Source organism: Homo sapiens, chromosome 14, assembly GCF_000001405.40.
Source record: "Homo sapiens chromosome 14, GRCh38.p14 Primary Assembly".
NCBI classification, from domain to species: Eukaryota; Metazoa; Chordata; class Mammalia; order Primates; family Hominidae; genus Homo; species Homo sapiens.
Window position 1 is genome coordinate 74,876,863 of NC_000014.9, and position 26,910 is coordinate 74,903,772.

The following is a 26,910-nucleotide window of genomic DNA, read 5'->3' on the forward strand; positions in this document are numbered from 1 at the left end:
GAGGCGGGCAGATCACTTGAGCCCAGGAGTTCAAGACCAACCTGGGCAACATAGAGAGATCGCATCTGTACCAAAAATACCAAAAAAAAAAAAAAAAAGAAAGAAAAAAAAATGTGCTTTTGGTCCTAGCTACTTGGGAGGCTGAGGTGGGAGGATGAGGATTGCTTGAGTCCAGGAGGCAGAGGTTGCAGTGAGCCGAGATTGCACCACTGTACTCCAGCCTGGGCGATAGAGTGAGACCCCATTACAAAAAAAAAAAAAAAAGGGTGGGCGCAGTGGCTCACGCCTGTAATCCCAGCACTTTGGGAGGCCGAGGTGGGTGGATCACAAGGTCAGGAGATTGAGACCTCCTGGCTAACACGGTGAAACCCCGTCTCTACTAAAAAACACAAAAAATTAGCCGGGCATGGTGGCAGGTGCCTGTAGTCCCAGCTACTTGGGAGGCTGAGGCAGGACACTGGCATGAACCTGGGAGGCAGAGCTTGCAGTGAGCCGAGATCACACCACTGCACTCCAGCCTGGGCAACAGAGCAAGACTCCGTCTCAAAAAAAAAAAAAAAAAAAGAAGTAAGTTACAGAATGATACAGGCACTGTGATTCCATTTCTACTAAGTTAAAAAATAGACCAAAAAAAAATACCCACACAAAAACATGTCTAGATTTTCATTGTGTATTCATCAGTCCATTATTTTGAATTACAACTGAATGAAGAGATAGACAGATAGATGGAATCTAGGTATCATAGGTAACACTGAGTGAATATAGGGCATAGTCCCTATTTTAAGGAGCCCAAAGATGGAAGCATAGGCTATAGCCCCATCTACTAGCTGGCCGATAATATTCATAAACTCATAGGCAAGGATGTGAATGTATGGTTCAGAACACACATAAGAAAACCGGGGGATTTGAGGTAAATGAGCTACTTAATCCTTTCTAAAAACACACCTTTTTTCTTATTTAATTTGAAAGTAAATACATCTTTCATTTTCATTTTTTATTTTTTTCTATATCAGACCACTGCTGGAGACATCTTTTTCTTAATTTAAAAACACAGGCAAAAATGTGTATAGAACATAAGCATATTGAAGCTATAATGAAAACAAGGGGATGGTTAATATATAATTCAGTATAGTAGTGGCTAACTGGGTGTGATGATGGAGGAGACCACAGGGAACTTTTCCATTCCTTCAGCTGGGCAGCAAGTATGGGAATTCCTTTTATTATTTTTCTTTTAAACTGGACACATAGATTTTTATATCCTTTTTAATACGTATTTTACAATGAAAATGTTTTTAAAAATTATCTTTTGGGCCGGGTACAGTGGATCACGCCTGTAAGCCCAACACTTTGGGAGGCCAAGGTGGAGGGGTCACTACGTCAAGAGATCGAGACCATCCTGGCCGACATGGTGAAACCCTGTCTCTATTAAAAATACAGAAATTAGCCGGGCATGGTGGTGGGCGCCTGTAGTCCCAGCTACTCATGAGGCTGAGGCAGGAGAATCGCTTGAACCCAGGAGGCAGAGGTTGCAGTGAGCCAAGATCATGCCACTGCACTCCAGCCTGGCAACAGAGTGAGATTCCACTCAAAAAAAAAAAAAAAATTCTCTTTTGAGCCCTGCCACAATTTATATTCATAAACTCTTGCCCCAGTAGATGGTGCTGTGTCTTGGGAAGCTCTAAATGAAGGAGTGCCCTAGCTTATTGGGTTGCAGCTTGGAGTCCATGGAAGCTCGTATGTGAATCTCGAGGAAATCAATTTCAACTTTTACCCTCTCAATGGGATTTTGTATGAAACCATGCTCGAGTGTGTGTGTGTGTGTGTGTGTGTGTGTGTGTGTGGTGTCTTTAGACTGTAATATCTAAGATTAACTTGGGTGATCACTAAAACTCCAGAAGTGCTTTGCCACATTATAACCAGGCTTGAAGTCTTGAAGCCTCTACATCTTTTTTTTTTTGAGACGGAGTCTAGCTCTGTCACCCAGGCTGGAGTGCAGTGACATGATCTCAGCTCACTGCAAGCTCTACCTCCCGGGTTCACGCCATTCTCCTGCCTCAGCCTCCCTAGTAGCTGGGACTACAGGCACCCGCCACCAGGCCCGGCTAATTTTTTGTATTTTTAGTAGAGACGGGGTTTCACCGTGTTAACCAGGATGGTCTTGATCTCTTGACCTCGTGATCCGCCTGCCTCAGCCTCCTAAAATGCTGGGATTACAGGCGTGAGCCACCGTGCCCAGCCTGAAGCCTCTACACCTTCTATAAGAATCTCAAAAATTGTTAAAGACTGTGAAAGCCTGTAATCCCAGCACTTTGGGAGGCCAAGGCAGGCGGATCATGAGGTCAAGATTTTGAGACCATCCTGGCCAACACCCTGTCTCTACTAAAAATACAGTGACACCCTGTCTGACACCCCGTCTCTACTAAAAATACAGAAATTAGCTGGGCATGGTGGCACGCACCTGCAGTCCCAGCTACTCGGGAGGCTGGGGCAGGAGAATCACTTGAACCCGAGTGGCAGAGGTTGCAGTGAGCCAAGATGAGATCATGCCACTGCACTCCAGCCTGGGCAGCTGAGCAAGACTCTATCTCAAAAAAAAAAAAAAAAAAAAAAAAAAAAAAAGACCGTGAAAGGACTGGGTAGCTATCTAAGAAAAATATTAACAGCAACACTGGCAAGAAATTGCCATAGCCCCTGACTACCGTTCTTGGATTCTTCAGCTGTGTCCACCAATGTTGTAAACATGGAAGTATTTAGTCATTCCACAAATATTTATTGAGTACCTACAGAGTCCCAGGAACTCTGATGTCCCAGGTGTTGTGTTTGGAAAATTCAGGAAAATAGAGAGTGGTCTCTTTCCACCTGCTGCTCTATGCAGCATGGGAGACAGACAGGTAAACAGGACATTACAATAAAATGCAATGTAGAAACCCAGACACAGTGCTTTGGAAGCATAGAAAATGTATCTGTTAACTCTGCCAGAGGGGTTAGGAAGGGATTAAGAAGGAGATTTAAAGGATGACTAGGAGTTCCTAGGCAAATAGGAGGAGGAAACAGCCCATGCAAATAGCTCAGCAAGGCTATGGCCAGTAGTGTGGTTTGACTAAAGCTCACAATCTGTGAGAATGTGGGGAGAGAATCAGAACATAATCAGAGGCCTGATTATCAGGTGCCTGGCCAAGTTGAGGAGTTTGTACTTTATCCTACAAGGGAGATAAACTTTATCTCCCTTGCTTTATCCGACCAGGAGAAGCAATGAAAGACTTTAATCAGAGGAGTGACAGGATTAGGTTTGCATTTCAGAAGGATTTCTTTTTTTTCTTTACTTTCTTTTTTTTTTTTTTTTTGAGACGAAGTCTCACTCTGTTGCTCAGGCTGGAGTGCAGTGGTGCAATCTTGGCTCACTGCAACCTCCATCTCCTGGGTTCAAGCAATTCTCTTGCCTCAGCCTCCCGAGTAGCTGGGATTACAGGCATTCACTACCACACCCAGCTAATTTCTGTATTTTTAGTAGAGATGGGGTTTCACCATGTTGGCCAGGCTGGTCTTGAACTCCTGATCTCAAGTGATCCACCCACCTCATCCTCCCAAAGTGATGGGATTACAGGCGTGAGCTACCACACCAGGCTCAGAAGGATCTTTGACACAGATATAAAGGATGATGGGCTAGAGAAAGCGAGAGCGGAGGCTTAGAACTGCTTAGGGAGCTTTTCAAATAATTCAGGTGAAAGCTACTGAGGAGTTAATTGTGGGTAGCAGCAGGGCAGAGCTGTTTTCTCTATTTCTAGTTAGGACTTTGGCCCATCCTTCCAGAATTTCAGTGGCAGTGCTTTCAGGGTTCAGGTGAGTGAAGGCACTGTAAAGGTCCTGATGGAATTTGAGGCCAGCCTGGGCAACATAGTGAGACCCCGTCTCAATTTATATTAAAACATAAATTAATTAGAAAAATAAAAAATAAAGGTCCTGAGGGCCAGGCAAAATGCCTCAGATAAAGAAATCATCATGAACGGCACCAAGTGGTTCATTCATTCATTCATACATTTATGTGTTACTAATTCAGCCAGAGGTTTAAAGCACATCTTTTTCATTAGGAAGGTGAGCCTTAAAGGTGAATACTCAAGGGGCCTGAATACTTAAGGAGGGGAAGGGGATGCTATATGCTTTCACTTCAAGTCAGCGGGAAGAATGGCACACTCAAAGTGGGGAGGTCAGCCTGGCATGGTGGCACCTGTAGTCCCAGCTACTCCAGAGGCTGAGGCAGAGGGATCGCTTGAGCCCAGAGTGTCGAGGCTCCAGTGAACTATGACCTTGTTTCTTAAAAAAACAGCTGGGAGTTTATATTCTAGGGATAGGGTGACAAACGAACAACTTCCAAAATGCACAAGATGTATGGGGAACAATTAGTTTGGCTGGAATTTGCGTTGGGGGGAGATCAGAAGCTGTTGAGAAATAAGGCTATAGTTGGTGAAGATATCCGACTCGTAAAAAGGCAATGGGATTTAGAAATTCCTGGGATTCTGTTTCTTTGACTCGGGGTTAGGAAGACAGGGAAGTAACAAGTGCCTTTTTTTTTTTTTTTAATAGTTAAGGGACCTGAGACTGGGGGTGGGGGGCAATGTCATCTGCCCCAGGCCACACAAGTGTAAGATCAGGCATGCATGTCTGCCAAGGTTTCAGTTCAATGTCCGTGCCCCTCTTTTGCTCTCTTCCCAAGGTACAGAGGCGGAACGGCGCGGTGCCCTCGGGTCCCAAGAGAGAAGGGCGCCAAGCTCAGAGCCAGTTCTGTGGAAGGGTAGGGGAAGGCCTGACCCCGGGGGCAATGTGGTGGCGGGACAGTCGTATACACCTTCAGGAGAACCACCTCAGGCTGACAGGCAGTGCGGAGGGCCCCAAGAGCGCCTTAGGGTTGCCTGCTCCAGAGAGCGGGACTCCTGCGCTGCAGCCGGGATACTGGGCGCCGCCGTGCGCCCACCCCCTGCCAGTGGTTCGCTCCGAACACCCCTCGTCGGGCGGCGGGTACTGCGGCCCGCCCCACTTCCGGTTGTTGTCCGGCCCTATATCCGGTGTCCGCCCGCCCTCGGCTCCTCCGCCGTGATGCTGTCCCGATCCCGCTGTGTGTCTCGGGCGTTCAGCCGCTCGCTCTCCGCCTTCCAGAAGGTACGGTCTGGCCGAGCCGGGGCCCCGACGGGTGAGGAGTCTGTTGGCGGGCAGAGAGGCGGCCTGGAAGGCAGGGGCGCGGCGCGCCGGCCGGGCCGGGCACCAAGGGCACTGGGACGCGGAGGCCGCGCGGGCTGGGCGGCCCGGGGCCGTGGTTGCCCTCGGGACCGTTTTGCGGAGCCCAGCGGCCCCCTGCCTTCTCCAGGCAGCCTGCGGGGAACGTTTCCTGCTGTACCCCACCCTCCGCGCGGGAGCTGGGGAGCCGCGCCCGTCCAGATACTTGACTCAGAGTTAGGGAGGAGGCGCGGCGGAGTCCTCCGGCGGGATTCGGCGCCCGTCTCGTCTTGCTCTGTTAAAATCAGTGGGTATTAATGAGTCCCGTTGGGAAGTTGAGATAGTTTGGCAGGCCCAGCGTGTTGATTGGGTCTGCCAGCACGGTGTGTTGCATTTACCTTCGGAGTTACGAGATTCACCTGTCACCACCACTGGGACAGCTTTGAGCGTGTACTTAAAAGAAAAAGCTGGGTTTTTTTTTCATCTTGGGTGACGTCGATAATGTCTTCTTTCTCAACAGGGGAACTGCCCTCTAGGGAGACGTTCCCTGCCTGGTAAGTTCTGCCCTTACCGTCACCTAAAATGCTCTCCTCCTGGGCAGAGCAGTATGTGAGGAACTCGGGGGTGCCTGTGTTTCTCATAATATTTAAAGACAGTTTGGTTCAGAGAGTAGTGAGACGCAATGCTACATAATCACGAGCTATCGCTTATTCATTTAGCTCGTAGTTGAGTTTCTACTGTGTTAGGCACTGTGCTAGACGCTAGGGATACAGGAGTGGATACAGAAGTGTACAGTTCTTGCCCTCGTGGAGCTCCTAGGCTAGTTGGATAGTGTCAGTTGCTAAACAAGCCAACAAAGGCAAATTTTTGTAACTGCTGAGAAGGAAACGAGGGTGGACAGAAGAGCCCTTTTTGAGGAGGTGACTTAAAAGTTATGGCCATGGCCGGGCGCGGTGGCTGACGCCTGTAATCCCAGCACTCTGGGAGGCTGAGGCGGGCGGATCACGAGGTCAGGAGATCGAGACCATCCTGGTTAACACGGTGAAACCCCATCTCTACTAAAAAATACAAAAAATTAGCCGGGCGTGGTGGCAGGCGCCTGTAGTCCCAGCTCCTCGGGAGGCTGAGGCACGAGAATGGCGTGAAGCCGGGAGGCGGAGCTTGCAGTGAGCCGAGTTCGCGCCACTGCACTCCAGCCTGGGCGACAGAGCGAGACTCCATCTCAAAAAAAAAAAAAAAAAAAAGTTATGGCTAGCAGAATGTGACGGAGCTAACCCAGTGAAGCCCAGGAGAAAGAGAATGGCATTCACAAAGACCCTGAGGAAGAAAAGAGGTTGGCAGAACTTAAGAGCTGGAAAAAAGGTGATTTGGCCGGAGTATTTTGGTTAAGGGAGAGAGTGGCAAGAGATAGAAGATGGTATAGAGACTGAAGGAGTTTAGATTTTATCCTAGCAGTTAAAAAGAAAAAAGTGTCATCCATAGCTTTTTTTCTGTTATATGCCTAGCCTAAGTATTTGTTGAATGAGTTGACCTTGTTGTGGGCTTTCTTTGTGCCAAGCATTTATATGAGTGCTTTCTGTGAATTTTTTAGTTAATCATCTCAAAACAGTAAAAAGTATTTTCTCTATTTTACAAATGCATAACCCAAGACAAGAGAGCTTAAAAGCCTTGGCCATGGTCACCCACCCAGCTGTTGATAAGCCAGGTCTACCTGACCCATCCTGAACTCTTAACCCACCATGTTCTCATTTACTCATGGACTCAACAGATCATTTATTGAGTGCTTACTATATGCCAGCCACTGTTCTAGGTAACAGGGGTATAGATAGACTCTAGCCTCGAGATTTTATGGGCTAGCTGGAGAGAGAGAGCAAATATACATTTATGCTCCGACAAGGGCATAAATTTTGGTTACTACGAGAGAGGAATTAAAGGGTGTGATGAGAGGGTGGGATGATGTAGACCAGCTTGGGAAGGTTGGGAATGTCAGTAAAGGCTTCCCTGAAGAAGTGACATTTAACTGAGACCTGAATATAAAAGAGCCAAGAAAATGTATTCCAGGCAAAGGGAATTGCTTGTGCAAAGGTTTTCAGACAGGAAAGGACTTGACCAGTGATAGACATGGGAAGAAGCCTGTCTGGCAGGAAAGATAGAGTGGGCTGGACGGTACAGGATCGCGTAAAGTGTGGACTTTATCCTGAGAGTTATGAGAACATAAAGCCCCTAGCACAATGTCGGCTTGTAGTGGACTCTCAATAACAAACATGTTTTTCAAGTGGGAACCCTGAACAATGTCAGTAAACATTTTCTCCACTTCATAGGTGGGCAGGACAATGGAAAGAGCCTTGCACTTGGGGATTTGCATTTGGGCTCAGGGATTCACCTTGGGCTAGTCGCTTAACCTCCAAAAGTCCTACTTATATGAAATGGGAATAATGGCAGATGGTCGTTCCACTTCAGAGAGTTGTGAGACTGTAAAATCAAAATGAGGTCATTATGGGAAAGCTTTTTATAAACCCTAAAGCACTGTACAAATGAAATTTGCTGTAGGATGAACTCTGAATTGGACTCCAGGTTCCCAAAATCAGTGTGAGCCGCCATCTATTCTAGTTCAAAAACATACTATGCTTAGAATTTGCACTGCATAGTCATTGGCTGCTGGACATAAAGGTGACTGGCTTACCTATCTTGGGATGCTTGTGAGGAGGTGGGCATAAGAGAGGGCTAGCTCTCATTTGGTGTGTCCTGAGCCCATGGTTCAGAAAGAGTTGTTAATCTGAAAGAAAAAAGACATAAGAAAGAATTCAGAAGAGGCAGCTGTAGTTACTAGTCATCAGTTGGGGAAATGCAGTTAACTATGATAAGGACAGCTGGTGGGCAGAAAGGGTCTCTCACCTTGTTGAGAGTGACCAGGGTGGAAGACTTCAGAAAGGCATGGGAAGTCAATAAACTGAAAGATGGGGACATGATTTTCTCAGCTCTAGGACAAACTGGAGACCCCGAGCCTAAAGTAGCCAAGTCTTTGCTACTAGGATTCAGGTGATAAGATTTCCAACCCAATCTTTTCAAACCCAGACCAAACATCCTCCTTGCTTCTCAAATTGGGTTATGTATAGTCACAGGATAAGCCATCCCATGTCTTTCTCAAGCTTCAGTTGTATTTGAAGACTTGGCGAGTAGAGACATTTTATTATGAAAACATACAGGAATAATGAAAAGTTCTGGCTTTTTAAGGTAGATGAGATTATATAATCACTTTGGGCTGTGCCATCAAATTTTTTCTCTTTCCTCCCCAGCCAAACACATACCCACTCGATCTCACATACCCATTTGCTCTCTGCCACTAAGGCTACTTTGGAAAAGTTTGAGAAGCAGGACTCTATGATAAAGATTATATCCGTTGCCGTTGATCCTGCTCTGTCTCAGGGTTGGGGGTGAGCAGACCTTTTCCATTCCCAGCATGTATCCTTTGTGAGATAAGAGTTGTTGGTTAAGAGTTATTTTGTTTCTTGCAGGGGTCTCCTTATGCCAGGGACCAGGTTACCCTAACAGCAGGAAGGTTGTGTAAGTATCACTGGGGAGTACAGATATGTGGCCACGGGTTATTTATTTAAAGACATAAAGTTCTAAATTTGACCATCTGATTTCTTCACTGGCCTCCAGACCTAGAAATTGAGGTGATTATGTTGAGTCCCTAGACTAACCTCAATGTTCACTTTTCCCATGTGATGTTCCTTGAGCATCAGCTCCGTGTCAGGTTTTGGACTGGGAGTGTGCCCACTCTCCACAGGTGTTTGGATTATAATGAAAGTTAAGTTGGAATCCTCTTTTTATGGGATATAGAAGGGTGCTCCTAGATATTCTGTTTGGATGTAAGTGCAGCTGAAAGGCTCGAGGTTACATTTATTGTGGAGATTGAGAGCATCCTCTCAGTAGCATAGTTACTCATTTTTAAAAACAGTAAAAGCATAAAACTGGTTGAGTCCTGGGACTGACTGACTAGTTTGGAGGGAATGCTGTTATTGCATAATGCAGAGTTTGGAGAAAGGCTACCCATGTGTGTTTCAGATTAACTTCTGCGTATGAATGTTGCTTAAATGCTGCTTTGCATTCCAAGTGTTTTTGTGGTGGTGCTAAGAGAATGCTCTCTAGTAACCTGTTCAGCAGCTGTCAGGCTGCTTACTCTACAGGGAGAATCCTCAAAGTGAAGAGGTCAGCGGATGAGCTTCTTACTTACTCTACATCACAATGAGGGTTTTTGTTGTTGTTGTTTTGAGACAGGATCTTGCTCTGCCACTTTGGCTGGAGTGCGGTAGCCTGATCTTGGCTCACTGCATCCTCAGCCTCCTGGGCTCAAGAGATCCTTTCACCTCAGCCTCCTGAGTAGCTGAGACTACAGGCACATGCCACCATGCCCGGTTGTTTTTTGTATTTTTTGTAGAGATGGGGTTGTTTTGCCATGATACCTGGGCTGGTGTCAAACTCCTGGGCTCAAGCAATCCATCCACTTGCCTTAGCCTCCCAAAGTGGAGGATACAGGCGTGAGCTATGGTGCCTGGCTGATTTTTTAAAATTTGAGTAAATGTTGCACTCAGTACTAGAAATATGAATCCCGGTGTTATTTTGGAGGGCAGTTTGATAGTCATAAGTCTTTGAAGTGTGTGTACCTTTTCTTTTTTTCTTTTTTTCAAGATGGAGTCTTGCTCTGTCACCCAGGCTGGAGTGCAGTGGCGCGATCTCGGCTCACTGCAGCCTCTGCCTCTCGGGTTCCAGCAATTCTCCTGCCTCAGCCTCCTGGGTAGCTGGGATTACAGGCGCACGCTACCACACCTGGCTGATTTTTGTATTAGTAGAGACGGGGTTTCATCTTGTTGGCCAGGCTGGTCTCTGAAACTCCTGACATCAGGTGATCCGCCCGACTCAGCCTCCCAAAGTGCTGGGATTACAAGCATGAGCCACTGCCCGGCCTGTGTGTTCCTTTTCATCTAGCAATTCCATCTCTAGGAATCTATACTGAAGAACTCCTGGTATATTTATCTCAGATTTAATATCTGATAATATAAATATTATCAGATTTATCTTAAAATGGCAAAGAGCAAGGGATTGGCTAAACTATAGCATGTTCACATGTTCACACTATGAAAAGTGGGAAAAAGCAGGTTACAAAATAATTTCATTTTCTACTGTGTGGTATGATCCCATTGTAAGTATTCTTTTTGCTATTTCTAATATTCTGTAGTGAACATCTAGTTATTTAGAGATTCAAAATGTATTACTCATCTGCAATCAAATGAAAATTGGGGCAATCATGACTCTCTACAATAAATACACTAAATATTTGAAAGTAAATAATGAAGAAAAAGTAAACTTTGTGTGGGATCACCCCAATCATGTCACCCTAATCCAGTATCTTTGTGTGTGTTGTGCCTTTTTTGTGAATAAGGTACCCACTTTATTTAATAAATCTTTTATTGTAAAACAATTTTTGGTTTTATGTTTTTACTAATAGTATTATATTTACATGATTAAAAATTCAAAAAGTAAAAAGGGTGTCCATGAGAAGACTTTTTTATCCTTGTCCTCTAGCCCCCCGAATGCCTCTTGGGTAGTGGTGGCCACCACTCCGGGTTCCTGGATGACTTGCAGAGCAGCCTCTGCACTTGCATGTTACCTGTTAGTTCTTGCCTATAGGCATGTACTTTACAAGGTTACAAACTATATGTAGAACAATTTGTATTCTTGTAGTTTTTAAATATCTTCATTTTTTCTTGGTTATACATAGACCTTATAGTTATTTTGACATTATAAAAGTAAAAATACCTAAAGACAACTTAAATCTCTTTTACTTTTCTATTATAAAAATGCTTGTTGTGGAATATTCAGACAATCCTGAAGTGTAAAAAGTGAAAGTCCCCATCCAAATCATTCTCCCAAATTGTGTAAGTGTGCAACACATAACCAGAGATACCATATATGTCTACATCTCTCACCCCTCAGAGGTAACCACTGTTAATGGCTTTGTGCATACAGGGTGAGCTGATTCTCCAGTTTATATTATTTACTGTAAAGGCCATATCAGTAAACGCCTTGGTCTTTGAGGTTCGTTTTGAATGAATCCAGAATGTGTTGATGTGCTGTTTTCTAGCAAGAGAACCGAGTAGGAGATACCATATGGGGTTTGTGTGTGGTTTTTTTGTTTTTGGGTTTTTTTTTTTTTTTTTTGGCATAACACCTTGTTTTACTTCCGAGTTAACCTTGTTAATCTTGCTGCCTTATCTGATCTAAATCTGTTATCTTGAGGGCAGAAATTCCATTATACCTTGCACAATGGCTTGTACCCTGGGCAGGCCGTAAATCTATCTCGGATTTAGTTAAGGAAGAGACCTGGCTGGACATGGTGACTCACTCCTGTAATCCCAGCACTTTGGGTAGGATCTTTGAGACCCGTCTGGGCAATGAAATCCATAGTCTACAAAAAGTAATTTAAAAAAATTATCTGGGTGGCATGTGCCTGTAGTCCCAGCTACCCGGGAGGCAGAGGTGGGAGGATCCCTTAAATCCAGGAGTTTGAGGTTACAGTGAACTATTATCATGCTACTGCACTCTAGCCTGGGTGACAGAGCAAGACTCTTATCTCTTAAAAAACAAAAAACCAAATCAAGAAGCTAAGTCATTTCGGTCTGCAAAGGACCAAGGTGCTTATTTTTTTATTGAAAGAGCCAAATGTAAGTCTGTTTTGTGAGAGTTGGCATTGCATTGCAGCACAGGGGCCTGAGCATACTTGGGGAGCTCACCATTTAAGGTACCTGGGTCGTTAGGCTCTACTCCAGACCTGCTGAGTCAGAATCCCTGGGGGAGAGGCCTAGACAAGTGAACTTTGAAAAAGTTCCTCCCCAAGTGACACTGATGGACACCCCTGGTCAAGAGTCACTGTTTAAGGGGAAGGTGACCCATGGGGCCTTAACTAGACTAAAATGTGAGTGGTTCGCCTGTTAAAAGGAGTTAACGTGTGTTTCTTTTGTAGCATTAACAACAGTGTCTTCAGTGTTCGCTTTTTCAGAACTACAGCTGTATGCAGTAAGTACCTGCTTTCTTGGGAATGGAATTTTATGGGAAGAGCAACAATTGATTGAGTTTAATTAAAGAAAAATATTAAAAAGGAAAAATGAACTACTTATGATTTTCTTTTTTGCATTTTTCCTAGAGGATGACTTGGTTACAGTCAAAACCCCAGCGTTTGCAGAATCTGTCACAGAGGGAGATGTCAGGTGGGAGAAAGGTAAGATTTAGTTTCCTATTTTTTTTTTTTTTTTTTTTGAGACAGAGTCTTGCTCTGTTCCCAGCCTGGAGTGCAGTGGTATGATCTCGGCTCACTGCAGCCTCTGCCTCCCAGGTTCAAGTGATTCTCCTGCCTCAGCCTCCCGAATAGCTGGGATTACAGGTGCCCACCACCATGCCTGGCTAAGTTTTTTGTATTTTTAGTAGAGACAGGGTTTCACCATGTTGGTCAGGCTGGTCTCAAACTCCTGACCTCAGGTGATCTGCCCACCTCAGCCTGCCACAAAGTGTTGGGATTACAGGCCTGAGCCACTGCGTGAGCCACTGCGCCTGGCTCCTCTCACTTCTTAAGTTTAAGTGCTATCTAAAATTCTCCCCTCCCCTCAGGATAGTTGTAGAATTTATAGCTCTGCCGTTTTCTTTACATATGTACTTTCTGCTGGCCCTGTAGGAAAGGGTTCTTATAACATACCTGCCAAAATGGGTTTTGTGGCTACTGGAGGCTCCCCGCTAACAGGTAGCCTTGTAGCCTTTGATTGTCTTTTCAGCTGTTGGAGACACAGTTGCAGAAGATGAAGTGGTTTGTGAGATTGAAACTGACAAGGTAGGCTTATCTTATATTCGTACCAGCTTTTCATGGGCTTCCCTTAGTTAACCTAATGAAAGAAACAGGGACTTAACCATTGTTTAGAGATAATTTTTAACTAGCTCTAACTTCAGTTGTAAAATTATTGGATTTGTTCAATTTAAAAAAAAAACAACTTTTTACATTTAACTTTTTTTTTTTTTTTTTTTTTTTGAGACAGACTTGCTCTGTTGCCCAGGCTGGAGTGCAATGGCCTGATCTCAGCTCACTGCAACCTCCACCTCCTGGGTTCAAGCGATTCTCCTGCCTCAGCCTCCCTAGTATCTGGGCTTACAGGCGCATGCCACAACGCCGGGCTAATTTTTGTATTTTTTGTAGAGACAGGTGTTGCCAGGCTGGTCTCAAACTCTTGACCTCAGGTGATCTGCCCGCCTTGGCCTCCCAAAGTGTTGGGATTAGAGGCATGAGCCACCGCACCTGACCTGCATTTAACTTTAAATTGTTTGCTGTGTGTGTACTATGTACTTCATTTAGTAGCTTTAGTCTTGTAGTGTGTGGTGAGGGGGTGGGGAGGGTAAATAAGCTGTTTCCACTTTTTCCTGTATCACTTGGAAACATATTAACTGAATATTGCCTGAATGTTTCTGAGAAAGGACAGAAAGTGAATCTTCACAGTAGCGATGACTTGTTATCACCCTTGCTCTGAAATTATGGCCTTAGATGTTTGTGTGCAAGGCCTTATATATTGTGTTGCAACTCTTGTTACTCACTGGAGATACGCTGTTGTTGTTGTTGTTTTGAGACGTTTCGCTCTATCACCCAGGCTGGAGTGCAGTGGCACGATATCGGCTCCACCTGCCAGGTTCAAGCGATTCTCGTGCCTCAGCCTCCCAAGTAGCTGGGATTACATTTTTGTAGTTTTTAGTAGAGATGGGGTTTCACCATGTTGGCCAGGCTGGTCTTGAACTCCTGACCTCAAGTGATCCGCCTGCCTTGGCATCCCAATATGCTGGGACTACAGGCATGAGCCACTGTGCCTGGCTTCATTGGAGATTCTATACAGCTAATTTTCTAATGCTGGATAAACATTTGGACTTCCTCCATCTGTCTTCCTCTTCCAGACATCTGTGCAGGTTCCATCACCAGCAAATGGCGTGATTGAAGCTCTTTTGGTACCTGATGGGGGAAAAGTCGAAGGAGGCACTCCACTTTTCACACTCAGGAAAACTGGTGGTAAAGAAGTTCTCCTGGTGGTCAAGGTCTCCAGTGTTCCCTCTTGGGATTGGGACTGAGCATAATGTGCTAATTCCCCGATATGTCAAAGACTCTTGTCATTCCAGCTGCCCTTAGTTGAGGGAATAAGGGGTAAATTTATATATAGTGTGAACTTCAAATGTCAAATTCTAAAAGAAAAGTGTATTTTTTAAAAAATAAACCTTATACTCTGTTCTTTCCATGGGTGTTTCTTAGCAGGAGCTGAGAAACTGGACCTTTTCTTATAGATATACAGATTGAGCATACCTAATCTGAAAATTCAAAATCTGAAATGCTCCAAAACTGAAAATCCAAAATCTGAAATGCTTCAAAACTTTTTGAGCACTGACAGAATGCTCAAAGGAAATGCTCATTGTCTTTTATGGGGAATTCAGTGTTGTTTCTTTTCACATCTGTTCTCTCATATCTCTAGGAAGGGTTGGTATTTCTTTTGGGAAGAAATGAGAAACGAATTTGTACTGGACCTGATAGGATTAGAGATTAATAACTTTATCTGACTCTTAGTTAAATTTTATAACCACTAAAAAGTCTATTTCTTTTTCCTAAGCGAGAATCGTACCCGTAGACCAACGAGTCACAGAAGTCTATTTCTTTTTCACTGTTACACTAATAAGGCAGATAGACCGCATGATTGAGGTTAGTCAGGCAAGACCAGAAGCTCAGAGTAGAAAACATGTATGGTAGAAGGCTGGGAAATAAGGTAGTCCTCCTGTTGCAGAAGTTTGTCTTAGCACTAACCCTGGATATAATGTCCAGATGGGTGAAAAACAGAAACAAACATTTCATTTAAAGTTGTGAGATTATTACTTGGCCACTTCAGTGATTTATGAGTCATCCTGGATGAAGTGCTTTCTTAAGCCTAAGTCAACCCTCGATGACTATTTTATTTTTTGAGATGGAGTTTCACTCTGTCGCCAGGCTGGAGTGCAGTGGCCTGATCTTGATTCACTACAACCTCCGCCTCCGGAGTTCAAGTGATTCTCCTGCCTCAGCCTGCCGAGTAGCTGGGACTATGGGCACATGCCACCACGCCCAGCTAATTTTTGTATTTTTGGTAGGGACGGGCTTTCACCATGTTGGCCAGGATGGTTTTGATCTGTTGACCTTGTGATCCGCCTGCCTTGGCCTCCCAAGGGGAGTAATCCCTTGGCCTGTAATCCTGGGATTACAGGCGTGAGCAACTGCACCCAGCCTATTTTTTAATAGTATTCTTGCATATATAATGTTAAAATAGAGGATGAAGAGTATCAGTAATTAGAAATATGTTTATGTATGCATTTCAATATTTTAAATTGCCTAGGTGTTTTTTTTTTTCCTTGGAAGTTTACATTTTCTTGGGCTTGATAGGTGCTTTGAAAGTACTTGCTGAATTTATTCAGTGGAAACCTGTGAAATTGGGAAGGGAGCTAAGTTGAGCCAGTTATCTGATGGACATTTAGGGACCCTGAGGACTAGAGAATAGTGCCTTATGTCATTGTGTGTGTGTCTCATAGTGCTTTGCATATTGCTGATACCCAGTAGACATTCGTTACTTGATTGGAGCTAGAGTTTTTGCCACTAAATTTTGCTTGGTTGCTTCTCATTTCAGACAGTGCCAGTGGCATATACTTTTCTTGTTTTTCAGCTGCTCCTGCTAAGGCCAAGCCGGCTGAAGCTCCTGCTGCTGCAGCCCCAAAAGCAGAACCTACAGCAGCGGCAGTTCCTCCCCCTGCAGCACCCATACCCACTCAGATGCCACCGGTGCCCTCGCCCTCACAGCCTCCTTCTGGCAAACCTGGTAGGCTTCCAACTCCCACATGTCATGTGGGAGAACATCTCGTCTAATATGTTCCTTCAAAGGGTAAACTCTAGACTGATGATGGTTCTGAACAGGCCAGGTTGGCTGCTTTGTAGAAAGAATTCTAGACTTTGTATCCAAAGGCCTGCTTTGCATCTCAGCTTTCTGTTACTAGCTGTGTGTCTTTAGGCTAGTCACTTAATTTATCTGAACAGATTGTTCATCTGTGAAGTTGGAGTGATACTAATATACCTCAGAATATCTTGAAGATTAAGTAACAGTACATATGAAAGCACTGGCACAAACTCAGCAGATGTTTCTTTCCTTGTCTGATGCAGCTTTATCCTCTTTTCATTTTCAGTGTCTGCAGTAAAACCCACTGTTGCCCCACCACTAGCTGAGCCAGGAGCTGGCAAAGGTCTGCGTTCAGAACATCGGGTAAGCCTCTGAGGACCACTTTCAGGAAAGAGGCAGGGGGCAGTGTTGAGATTAGTGGAGTATGGGTGTGGTGATGCCTACCTTTGAATGCCTGGCAGCTCATTCCCTCAACCTTGATAAAGGGAGTTTAGGATATAACTTCTTCATAGTCACATAACCATCAAATGATAGGACTAGAACCTGAGGTCTTCTGAACACTTGTTCAGTGGTTTTCCTACTATATTATGCTACCAGTGAAAGCCTTGGGTAAGTTAAATATTTGTAGGGGTGGTAGCTTAGTAACTCACCCCCGTCCTCCCACGATGTCACACGCTTCAGAGAGGTGGTTTAGTGAGCTCTATTCCTATACTTCTGGGATACTTAGCTGTAGCTAAGGGATAATACTCAGTAGCAATAGCTGTCAGGTGCAGACATAAAGCCTCAAGGAAGTATGGTCAGGATTGTGGTTCCTCTGCCTGAGAATACTTCCTAAAAATATGATAGCCTCGAAAGTTTGTTGCTCATGAGGTTCTGTTCCACAAATAGCTATTCTTATGCAAATCTTTATCAACAGAAAGTGCCCTTTTTCTTATGATTCTTATGTTGGCTAGACTACACTACACTACATTCTTTTATAAATGGGTTTTGGTTTTTAAATCACTGTTTCTGAGCCTTCATTCTTGGTCAAGCTTTAGGCACATCTGAGTGAGTAGTTTTGGCCTGTGTTTGCATGTTTTTGCTTGGAGGAGAAAGGGCCACCACAGGAAAGGGAAGCCTGGAGCTCGTGTACTTAGATACTGTAGTCCTTGGCCATCTACTCGTGGCAAGCCGTGTTCTTTCTGACTACACGGGGAATGCTTGACCCAGAGAGATCAGATTGTCAATGCTTGTTCCACTCTTACTTTCAGGAGAAAATGAACAGGATGCGGCAGCGCATTGCTCAGCGTCTGAAGGAGGCCCAGAATACATGTGCAATGCTGACAACTTTTAATGAGATTGACATGAGGTAGTGTCTCTAGTCCCTCTTATCCCCTAGGCCCCTTTTTCTTAGAGAACACGAACTTGCCCCACTCCTTATCTAGTGCTGATTCTAAAACTAACTTGTCAGGGAAGAGGTATTTGTTTATTGTTTTTTGTTTGTTTGTTTTTGTTTTTGTTTTTTGAGATGGAGTCTCGCTGTCTCCCAGGCTGGAGTGCAGTGGCATGATCTCGGCTCACTGCAAGCTCCGCCTCCCGGGTTCACGCCATTCTCCTGCCTCAGCCTCCAGAGTAGCTGGGAATACAGGCGCCCCCCACCACGCCTGGCTAATTTTTTGTATTTTTTTAGTGGAGACGGGGTTTCACCGTGTTAGCCAGGATGGTCTCGATCTCCTGACCTCGTGATCTGCCCTTCTCGGCCTCCCAAAGTGCTGGGATTACAGGCGTGAGCCACCGCGCCTGGCCTGTTTATTGTTAACTTTCACAGAGTGAGCCGCTGGCTTCTTCTCTAATTGGCTTTCCTAATACTATGCCTGCCTCCTCCATGACCTTAACCTTAGCCTTGGCTAGGTGTAGTGGCTCACACCTGTAATCCTGGCACTTTGGGAGGCCGAGGCAGGCGGATTGCTTGAGTCCAGGAGTTCAAGACCAGCTGGGTAACAAGGCGAAACCCCACCTCTACAAAAAATACAAAAATTAGCCAGGTGTGGTGGTGCACATCTGTAGCCCCAGCTACTTGGGGGGCTGAGATGGGAGGATTGTTTGACCCCGTCACTTACATATTTTCCTAAGTGATTCAGAATCGAGTGGATGAAAAGGCAAAGATAGGCTGGGCTTGTCTTTCATTTTACCCAGCTCTGACAGTGAAATGGAAAACAAGTTGTGTTTTTAAATAACCTTAGAATGTTAACCAAAGGTACTAATTCACTAGGTATGCCCATTTCTGTAGTGAGCTAATTGTTGACTTACCTGTTTTCTTCAAGATTTCAATGTGTTCAAGTATCAGCACTGTCAGGAAGAGAAATTTGACAAACGTGTTTTGAGTGCGTACTGTATACAGAGTACTGTACTGTGGAATTCAGTGGGGATAGACGCTGGGCACCATGGCTCGTGCCTATAATCCCAGAGCTTTGGGAGGGTGAGGAAGGAGGATCGCTTGAGCTTAGGAGTTGGAAACCAGCCTGGGCAACATAGCAAGACTGTCTCTACATAAAATTTAAAAATTAGCCAAGTGAGGGCTGGGTGCGGTGGCTTGCGCTTGTAATCGCAACACTTTGGGAGGCTGAGGTGGGTGGATCACATGAGGCCAGGAGTTCGAGACCAGCCTGGCCAACGTGGTGAAACTCTGCCTCTACTAAAAATACAAAAATTACCCAGGCATGGTGGCGTATGCCTGTAATCCCAGCTACTCGGAAGGCTGAGGCACAAGAATTGCTTGAACCCAGGAGGAGGTTGCAGTGGCTGATATCGCGCCACTGCACTCCAGCCTGGGCAACAGAGCGAGATTGTGTCTCAAAAAAAAAATTATGTATGGTGGCATGGACCTATAGTCTCAGCTACTTGGGAGGCTCAAGTGATCTTCCTGCCTCAGCCTCCCAAATGGCTGGGACCACTACAGGCATGTGCCACCAGGCTTGGCCAATTTTTTTAGTTTTTGTAGAGACAAGGTCTCGCTGTGTTGCCTAGGCTGGTCTCCTGAACGTCTAGGGTCAAGCCATCCTCCTGCTTTGGTCTCCCACTGGGATTACAGGCATGAGCCACCATTCCTGGCCAAAAAAGAATTTTTAAACAGGTCTTCAAGAGTGACTAGCATTTTGTCAGCCTTGTGGAGAAAGGTCATTCCAGATGATGTTAACAGTGTAGACCATGAGATGGGAAAGTAGAAGACACATTTGAGAAATTGTCAAAAATCATTTCTGTTGTGAGGATTTTGTATAGCAAAGAATGGTAAAGAAGGTTGGATCCTTATTTCAGAATGTTTTGAATGCCAGGGTAGGAGTTTATATTTAATTCAGGAAGCAAGTCAAGTCTCAGGTCATCTCTTTCTTTCTTTTTGTCCTGAGGGTTTAGTCTGCGAATCTACTTTTCATTAGAGAAATTTGCTTTTCTTTGGAAAGGGTTTGAAAAATAGGGAGAAGGGAGTGTTTTCTTGATAGTGCGCTGTGGCATTGTTCAGAGTAGGGCTCTGTGACCTGTTTTACTAGATGTCATCCATTCTGTTGGGAAACTTTCCGAAGAGACTGGATGACATTCAAGCCAAAGATTTCTCTCTTGTTCATAGGATGTAGGGGAAGGACCTTGACTAATGAATCACAAAGGCTGCAGCTTATGTTTCAGTGCATTAGGGCCAAATTGTACACAAATTGAATTGGACTTTGAAATTCTACCCAGTTTCTTAAGACAAAACATGTAAATATTTGTGGCCCTGAAAGATGCAGTTGGCCCAACAGCTTTGATTGGAAAGGAAGCGTAATAGCTGGATCTCCTTTCAGCAGCTAATCAAGGTGTCACTTAACAATGGCCTGCGGTCTTGCTGCAGCCTAATTTGGTTTAGATCGAGTGCCCTTTGGGTCTTGTGCTGATCAGCTAACCCATAAGGGACCTTTCTGAGACCTTCTCCCTTCCTCTATTGTCCCAGCCTTTGCCTCCAAGGGCAGAGCTCTGAAATAGAAGCTACTTAATGACCAGACAATAACATTTGGGCAGGTTTGAGAGCAGAGATGTTTATCACATCTCTTTCCCTCTTCTGCAGCTCTTGTGTCTTGGGAACCAGTAATGTCTTTAGGGTGGTAATCCTAGCACTAAATAAGGTTAGAATCAGGAAAACAAGCATTTTAAACCCAATCAGTCCCCCTTGGAAAAACTTCCTTTTTCAAAAACAAAAGATCTGAAGGGGGCTGTTAAAATTGTACCACATCTTACCTTTCATGCTAATGTCGAATTAGGCCATTAGAGGGAGAAAGGGAGAACTGAGCATTTGGCCCTGAGATAAAGTTAAATTCAATTTTCATCGTAGAACTGCATTACTGCATTCCGATAAATACTGAGGTTTATGCAGCAAAGTGATGGGAAAGCCATTTCTCACTAACTCTGCAATGTGTCATTGAAAAAAAACCAGTCCCAAAAGAATAAAGGCTGCTCATGTTGTAAAGGCTTTTCAGAAGGCTTGCTGCTTAATCTGAAGGGAACCAGCCTAAACCACAAGTGGCCACTTTTCTAAATACCAAGGAAATCACAGCCATTAAACTAATCTTAGGGCAAGAACTATGTCTTAATTAGCTTTGTATCTTGGTACCTGGCCCTGACCCTCACATGTAGTAAGGTGTTAGTACCTGTTTGGAAGAATAAGTGGATGGAACTGCCAACCCTGGAAAGATGAAGAACGGATATGACTTTCCGTGGGCCTGAAAGAACACTGGGTTATACCCTTCCCTGCAGAGTCATGACTGCTTTTTCCCGCATGGAGCCTCATGTACCCATGAGCTGTTTATTTTAGTCTCCACTAATCAAGAGATAGGAGGAATATCACACGGGAGTTATACTCAGATTTGGTGGGGTTTTTTTTTTTTTTTTGTATTCTAACAAGAAATAAAAAGAATATTGCTTATTTTGTAGATTTTGTTTATACTTTAAAAAATTTTTTTTCAGGATGGATAGCTCAGTTATTCAGGGCAAGGATGTTGGTGTGCTGTGTGATCTCTTGTTCATATGATGTGTCACTGAAATCTGTGACTTCTAGACCATGAAGGAGCCCTGTAAAGAGATCAACCCACCTTAAAGACAGATTGGGCCTGATTCCTGTAGATTTCTTTGTAAAAGAACAGAGTTACTGTGTTAACCTCAGGTAGACTATTTCAAAACTTGAACTAAGGTAATGGTCCAGAGTGAGGGAAAAGCTCTCACCTAATTGTGTATATGGATTGAGAAACCTGTGTGAAAGTCAAAATGCAGGCTTTGTGGTCAGTTTGTTTTGTAATATTTTCACAGTAACATCCAGGAGATGAGGGCTCGGCACAAAGAGGCTTTTTTGAAGAAACATAACCTCAAACTAGGCTTCATGTCGGCATTTGTGAAGGCCTCAGCCTTTGCCTTGCAGGAACAGCCTGTTGTAAATGCAGGTGAGTTGCTTGTGGCTGGAATTGGAGAGGTCCTGGGAGGTAGGTGTATGAGCACAGACCTGCTCCCACATGCAGAGGATCAACAGACCAAGGCTTTTTATTTGCTACCTATAGAAATATCAGTATCTTCCCCAGGGATTTCTTGGTTCACCTTCCTGAAGCAGCATCATGATTACTTTCTACCCGCCAGCTGGGCAGAACAGTTTCTCTTCCCAGTGTACAGCTCGGCAGCTGCTCAGGCAGCAGGCAGTTCTGGGATAGCCCAGCTCTCCAGGCTGTCTCCTGTCAAGGTGGAAGCACGTGTTCTGGCTTCCTCCCCTCCCCCAGCTCCACAGGCCCTGTTACCTTGGGGCCTGACTTCCACAGTTGGTGTAGGCTCCTGGCTGACCTTTGATCTTAGGTCGATGGGCCTCACTGGGAGCTTCGGCTTGGCCTCTCATGGACCTGGTGCTTATTTTCTTTCCTTTTTACTTACCTACGTCATTGTAGTGTTGACCTAACAAGCACTTTGTTTTCCTGTTGACACACTTCTCTGTTCCTTGGGAGATTGGAGAGGGGTCAGTGCTACTTTTGCCATCCTCAGCAGTGTCAGGGGCCCTAAAGGTCTAGAAGTAGAAGCCCTAGTCCCTCCTGTTGAGTGGTGCTCTAGGGAGGTAGAAGGCCATCTTTGTTTTGCCCAAATGTATACCTCTTCTTTTTCCCATTCTTCTCATGCCTCCCTGACTGGCTCTCATCTTTTTCAGTGGCCCCCTTCTGCTTGCCCACACATGTAGGCGGCTCTCAAAAGTTCTCGTGGCCTCTTTTTCACATTACATGCTTCCTCTGGATGTCTTATCTAACAATACAACATGGACTTTCTGCGGAAATGATTCCCAAGCCTTTATTTTCCCATTAGTTGCTAGGTGTACATTTTCAGATGCTGGTTTGCCATCTCTTGAGGTAGCATATTTCAAAGCCAGATCACCCCGCTTACTCTTGGATCTCCCCTCTTCCTCTTGTTGAGAGTTGGAAGCAGAGAATGGGTAGTATCTCTATATCCCTTTTCCTTTGCTAATTTGCCCTTTTTTGGAACATTTGTTAACCCTAGTCATTCTCTGCTAAAGGAGGGCTTGACTAGAGCTACTTAACGAGAGTTTAGTGCATACCTATCCTATGGAAGCCAGTGTGTTGAGCCCTTCTTAGGGCTGCCAAAGAAATGGATGCTCCTATGCCCAGGCTCAGTCAGGGACTTGGGAGATACTATACTTGGGATGGGAGTAAGTGGAATGCCAGCTGCCATGCATAATGCAGTGGTGTTCATGGTGGTTGGTCAGCCCACACTGTATCAAGCTCTGCAGATTTTTACTCTGTTAATGCACATATTACCTCATTAGTCTTGGCCTTCCTGGGGAGTTGTATGTAACATGTATTTTCTCTCTCATAGTGATTGACGACACAACCAAAGAGGTGGTGTATAGGGATTATATTGACATCAGTGTTGCAGTGGCCACCCCACGGGTATGTTGGGGCAGGAGGTGGGGAATGTTGGTCTTAGACCCTCACCTTATCTGTGTGAAGGAGATCACACAAGAGAAATCATTTCTTTAATTCTGTATTTTTAGAAGGGAGTTAGTAAAAGTAACCTTTTTTTTCTTTTAAACCATGCCGCATTCTTTTAACACTTTCTGTTAATCACACTGAGTAATGAAGGTATTCTAGGGAGGGCATACCATGGGTTGAATCAAGGGAGTTGTTAACTATAAAAGGTACTATTAATTTGCAACTGAAAACAGCTTTTCACCCCCTTCAGGGTCTGGTGGTTCCAGTCATCAGGAATGTGGAAGCTATGAATTTTGCAGATATTGAACGGACCATCACTGAACTGGGAGAGAAGGTAAAGTAGAAAGATGTATACAAGCTGCTAAGCAGGCGAGGGAAGAGAGCCTTCAGAAGGCTGGGCTCACTAGCAAGCAGTGCTCATGGAAAGTCAAGTGCATAGCCCCTGAGAAAAGCAGTTGCCCATGAGAGCTAAGTATTTTATATATCTGGTGGAGTTTACCATGCTCTGGTAACTGAAATCTCATCAGATGAGACCTGCTAGAAAAGATCATCTTTGAAGTCTTCAACTGTATGAAATTGTGCCTTTTCTCTGGTGGAGCACTGGTCATAGACACCTTAGCCGAACAACTGTCACACGGAAGCTAGCGCTTGTGCCATCGATCTCGATACAAGCTTTCTGGACTTCCTTTGCTTTTTTGTTTTTAGAGGCAGGGTCTCGCTGTGTTGCCCAGGCTGGAGTAGAGTGGTAGAGTCATAGCTTACTGCAGCCTTGCACTCCTGGGCTCAAGCGATTCTCCTGCCTCAGCCTCCCAAGTAGCTGGGACTACAGGTGTGCACCACCATGCCTGGCTAATTCTTAAGTTTTTTATACAGATGGGGGTCTCACTATGTTGCCCAGGTTGGCCTTGAACTCCTGGCCTCAAGCAGTCCTCCTGCCTCGGCCTCCCAAAGCGCTGGGATTATGGACTGACTTTAGGTGAAGGAAACTGGGTTGGCTTGATATTTCAATTATGAAATCTGTTTTTAGGCCCGAAAGAATGAACTTGCCATTGAAGATATGGATGGCGGTACCTTCACCATTAGCAATGGAGGCGTTTTTGGCTCGCTCTTTGGAACACCCATTATCAACCCCCCTCAGTCTGCCATCCTGGGGATGCATGGCATCTTTGACAGGCCAGTGGCTATAGGAGGCAAGGTAGGAACCGTCACTTCTAAGGTCCTAGTGGCTAGGTCTCGATGAAAGGGAAATCCAACTAAATGCTAATTGTAAAACATTAACTATAATTTCAGGCCTAAGTTCCATTTCTTAGTTTCTAATAGCTAAGGCACTGATTATCAAATTGTGGTCTGGATCAGCATCATCTGGGACCTTATTAGAAATGCATATTCTTAGACCCCATCCCAGACTTAAAGAAGAAGTGCAGATGATCCTGATGCATATTCAAGTTTGAGAACCACTGAGCTGAGGAGGCTTGTTTGCTTCTATGGAGTGGGGGATATAGTTGGAAACGTGGTCCCTTGCCCCTGGGAAACAGATGACAATTATGCATGTCAGTCTGTGAGCTGCCAAGTTGTATGATAAAGCTTGTAAATTTCCCGGGAGTTCAGAGAATTAAGTATTAAAAGGGGCTTGAGCTGGCCCTTAGAAGATACGTTGGTATCAAAAAAGCTTTCTGGGAACTCCTGTGTTTAGAATCCTTTTGGGTTACTGACTCCTGTGTGAAACCACAGTCTGTAGATCTTCCTGGAAAATGCCCATACACCCAGCTACACATACAATTCCAGAATTTGTAGACCCTGGCTTAATTTTTTTTTTTTTTTTTAAATTCTAACCCCAGAGAGAAGCAAGTACAGGCAGCCAGAACTGAAGGGAAAACTTTCCTTGTAGGCAGCAGATGCGTTAGAGGGCAGAGTATGTTTTTAAAAAATAAAAGGCAGTTGTGAGAAGACAGTTTTCTTGGCAAACTTTGTTTCTGAGTGGGGAAGCTTTGCACTGAGGGTAAGTCCTGGTCTTTGAAATACTGTAAATATGCAGAGGCAACATCAATAGGAAAGGCTCTGGAATTAGGAACTTTCTTATGGGCTGTGCTAAATCTCCTTCAGCGAGGCTGGCTGTGGCTTGCTGGAGACAAACCTATTTACCTTTCCTCTCTGTAGGTAGAGGTGCGGCCCATGATGTACGTGGCACTGACCTATGATCACCGGCTGATTGATGGCAGAGAGGCTGTGACTTTCCTCCGCAAAATCAAGGCAGCGGTAGAGGATCCCAGAGTCCTCCTCCTGGATCTTTAGGAGGAACCCACACACCCTACAAGTTGATCATGCAGGAACTGAAAACCAGTCTTCTCCCTGTCCCCTCATGGGTCCCGGGTTAGCCTGGTGACAGGCAGACACATGCTGTTGGCCTCAAGCAAGGAAGCAGAGCACTGTGTAACCAGCAGTCACAGGTCTTTTCTTGGCGTTCCTGCCAGGCTCTCCCTCTCTGCACCTGTCTCATAGCCTCGAATATCTTAATTCCTTAGGCTTAAGAGAGAGAGCCTTAATGGATGCTCATTCATATTCCTGCCTTTCTTCCATCAGCTCTCTGCAAAGATGATTTTGCTTTTCCCTAGTGCTGGTATACTATAGAGAAACCCCTGGGGACCATGTGATTAAGTTCCTATCTTTTGAAAGTTTGTTCTGCAGAGACTTCTAGGAGGATGCTGTGCCTCCCAAGCTCAGAGCAGCCTCTGTCCTGGCTGTGCACATTCTCCCTTGATTCCACTTGTGTGGAGGGATTGAACACAGGCAAAGAGGTGCTGCTTTGCTTCTTCAATGGCACCTTCATTCTCCGTTGTCATTGACTTCAAGATGCCTCTTCTACCTCTTCCAGGAAGCACAGGCCAGGGGATCTGGGTGTGTGAGTGGGAGGAGAGGGCAGAGGTCCCCTGAGGTCATGCATTGTAATCATCATAGAAGGAGAGCCCAGGCCTGCCCTCACGCTCTCCATCATAGGCTGACACCAAGAAGACTCGTCTTGGCACAATCTCACACAGCTGGGGCTGTAGCAACCCTTTCCAACCCCTTTGCTGGTTGCTGGGCCTCATTCTAGCACCTTGTTCTTAGAGCAGATTCTAGCACATCATGGCAGTGGGACCAAGCGTGGTCCCGAGGAAGGGCCAGAGCCTGGTAGAGACTAGGGAAGGGAGGTCTCCTCTAGACTGACTCACATTGCCTTGAGCTTTTCAGTTAAGTTGCTGTAAGCACCTGGGCTGAGGAGGCAGTTTTTGTTCCTTCCTGCGTTATAGCGGGGCCTTGTCTCTTCCTCTGCAGGACACAGATCTGGAGGACGTGGACTGGGGTAGGAAACCACCCTGAGGGTGTTAGTACCTAGTGGTGAAACGGATGAGGTCATTTCTAAGGTGTGTTGCCCGTGGATCTGGGCACAATCATTGGAATTCCTTGGAGCCACTGGGATTCATGGCTTTGTATCCAACTGCATCCAGGCCTGAGGCTGCTGACGTTTGACACCAGGGCCAGTAGAGAGTGCCCTTTTGTATCTTAAGCCAAGAAGTGAGGCCTGGGGGTGGGGGAGGGGGGAAGGGGTGGGAGCCAATACTGAGTGCCTGCAGCATCTACTACTCTGTCTTCACTATTCAGAACTTGTAACTAAAGTATTTAAAGAAACTGATTTTAAATGCAAATTAAAGGGCAGATATTCTCAAACAGGGTTCCTGTATCTGTTCCTTTTGGCT

General features: G+C 45.1%; 1 protein-coding gene across 6 annotated transcripts, besides 6 other annotated features; it reads left to right on the forward strand.

Moving 5' to 3' along the window:
- Positions 4,986-5,212: a silencer, noted in NCBI's record as "fragment chr14:75348551-75348777 (GRCh37/hg19 assembly coordinates)". NCBI's record gives its function as "represses an EF-1alpha promoter that drives an FKBP-Casp9 reporter gene in an ReSE screen in HepG2 liver carcinoma cells {active_cell/tissue: HepG2}" and the evidence as "EXISTENCE:reporter gene assay evidence [ECO:0000049][PMID:32094911]".
- Positions 4,986-5,398: a biological region, named in NCBI's record as "ReSE screen-validated silencer GRCh37_chr14:75348551-75348777".
- Positions 5,054-26,881, forward strand: DLST (dihydrolipoamide S-succinyltransferase). 6 transcript variants are annotated; one of them, NM_001933.5, is made up of 15 exons: positions 5,054-5,154; positions 5,729-5,762; positions 8,724-8,772; positions 12,233-12,285; positions 12,413-12,487; positions 13,035-13,090; positions 14,194-14,305; positions 15,972-16,124; positions 16,486-16,562; positions 17,450-17,547; positions 21,507-21,637; positions 23,061-23,134; positions 23,427-23,510; positions 24,204-24,371; positions 25,334-26,881. In NM_001933.5, the coding sequence occupies exons 1-15, from the start codon at positions 5,092-5,094 to the stop codon at positions 25,466-25,468; spliced, it is 1,362 nt and encodes a 453-aa protein (NP_001924.2). In that variant the 5' UTR covers positions 5,054-5,091; the 3' UTR covers positions 25,469-26,881. The 6 variants fall into 6 exon arrangements, 4 of the variants coding, with proteins under 4 accessions (NP_001924.2, XP_047287021.1, XP_047287022.1 ...); NR_033814.2 differs by lacking the exon at positions 13,035-13,090 and having other exon boundaries at positions 12,415-12,487; NR_045209.2 differs by lacking the exon at positions 8,724-8,772.
- Positions 5,069-5,398: a silencer, noted in NCBI's record as "silent region_5933". NCBI's record gives its function as "represses an Ori minimal core promoter by ATAC-STARR-seq in GM12878 lymphoblastoid cells {active_cell/tissue: GM12878}" and the evidence as "EXISTENCE:reporter gene assay evidence [ECO:0000049][PMID:35858748]".
- Positions 16,120-16,269: an enhancer, noted in NCBI's record as "active region_8732". NCBI's record gives its function as "activates an Ori minimal core promoter by ATAC-STARR-seq in GM12878 lymphoblastoid cells {active_cell/tissue: GM12878}" and the evidence as "EXISTENCE:reporter gene assay evidence [ECO:0000049][PMID:35858748]".
- Positions 21,957-22,101: an enhancer, noted in NCBI's record as "145 bp enhancer 140 fragment used in the MPRA reporter construct; PK_construct_1641". NCBI's record gives its function as "activates an SV40 promoter by MPRA in HepG2 cells {active_cell/tissue: HepG2}" and the evidence as "EXISTENCE:reporter gene assay evidence [ECO:0000049][PMID:23512712]".
- Positions 22,022-22,035: a transcriptional cis regulatory region, noted in NCBI's record as "HNF4 motif; enhancer activity is reduced when this motif is scrambled". NCBI's record gives its function as "necessary for full MPRA enhancer 140 activity {active_cell/tissue: HepG2}" and the evidence as "EXISTENCE:site-directed mutagenesis evidence [ECO:0005528][PMID:23512712]".

Coding starts and splice junctions, on each gene's coding strand:
- DLST (NM_001933.5), top strand. CDS start 5,092: ATGCTGTCCCGATCCCGCTGTGTGTCTCGGGCGTTCAGCCGCTCGCTC. Junction 16,125..16,485: donor GCCTCCTTCTGGCAAACCTG/GTAGGCTTCCAA, acceptor TTTCATTTTCAG/TGTCTGCAGTAAAACCCACT. Junction 21,638..23,060: donor ACAGCCTGTTGTAAATGCAG/GTGAGTTGCTTG, acceptor TCTCTCTCATAG/TGATTGACGACACAACCAAA.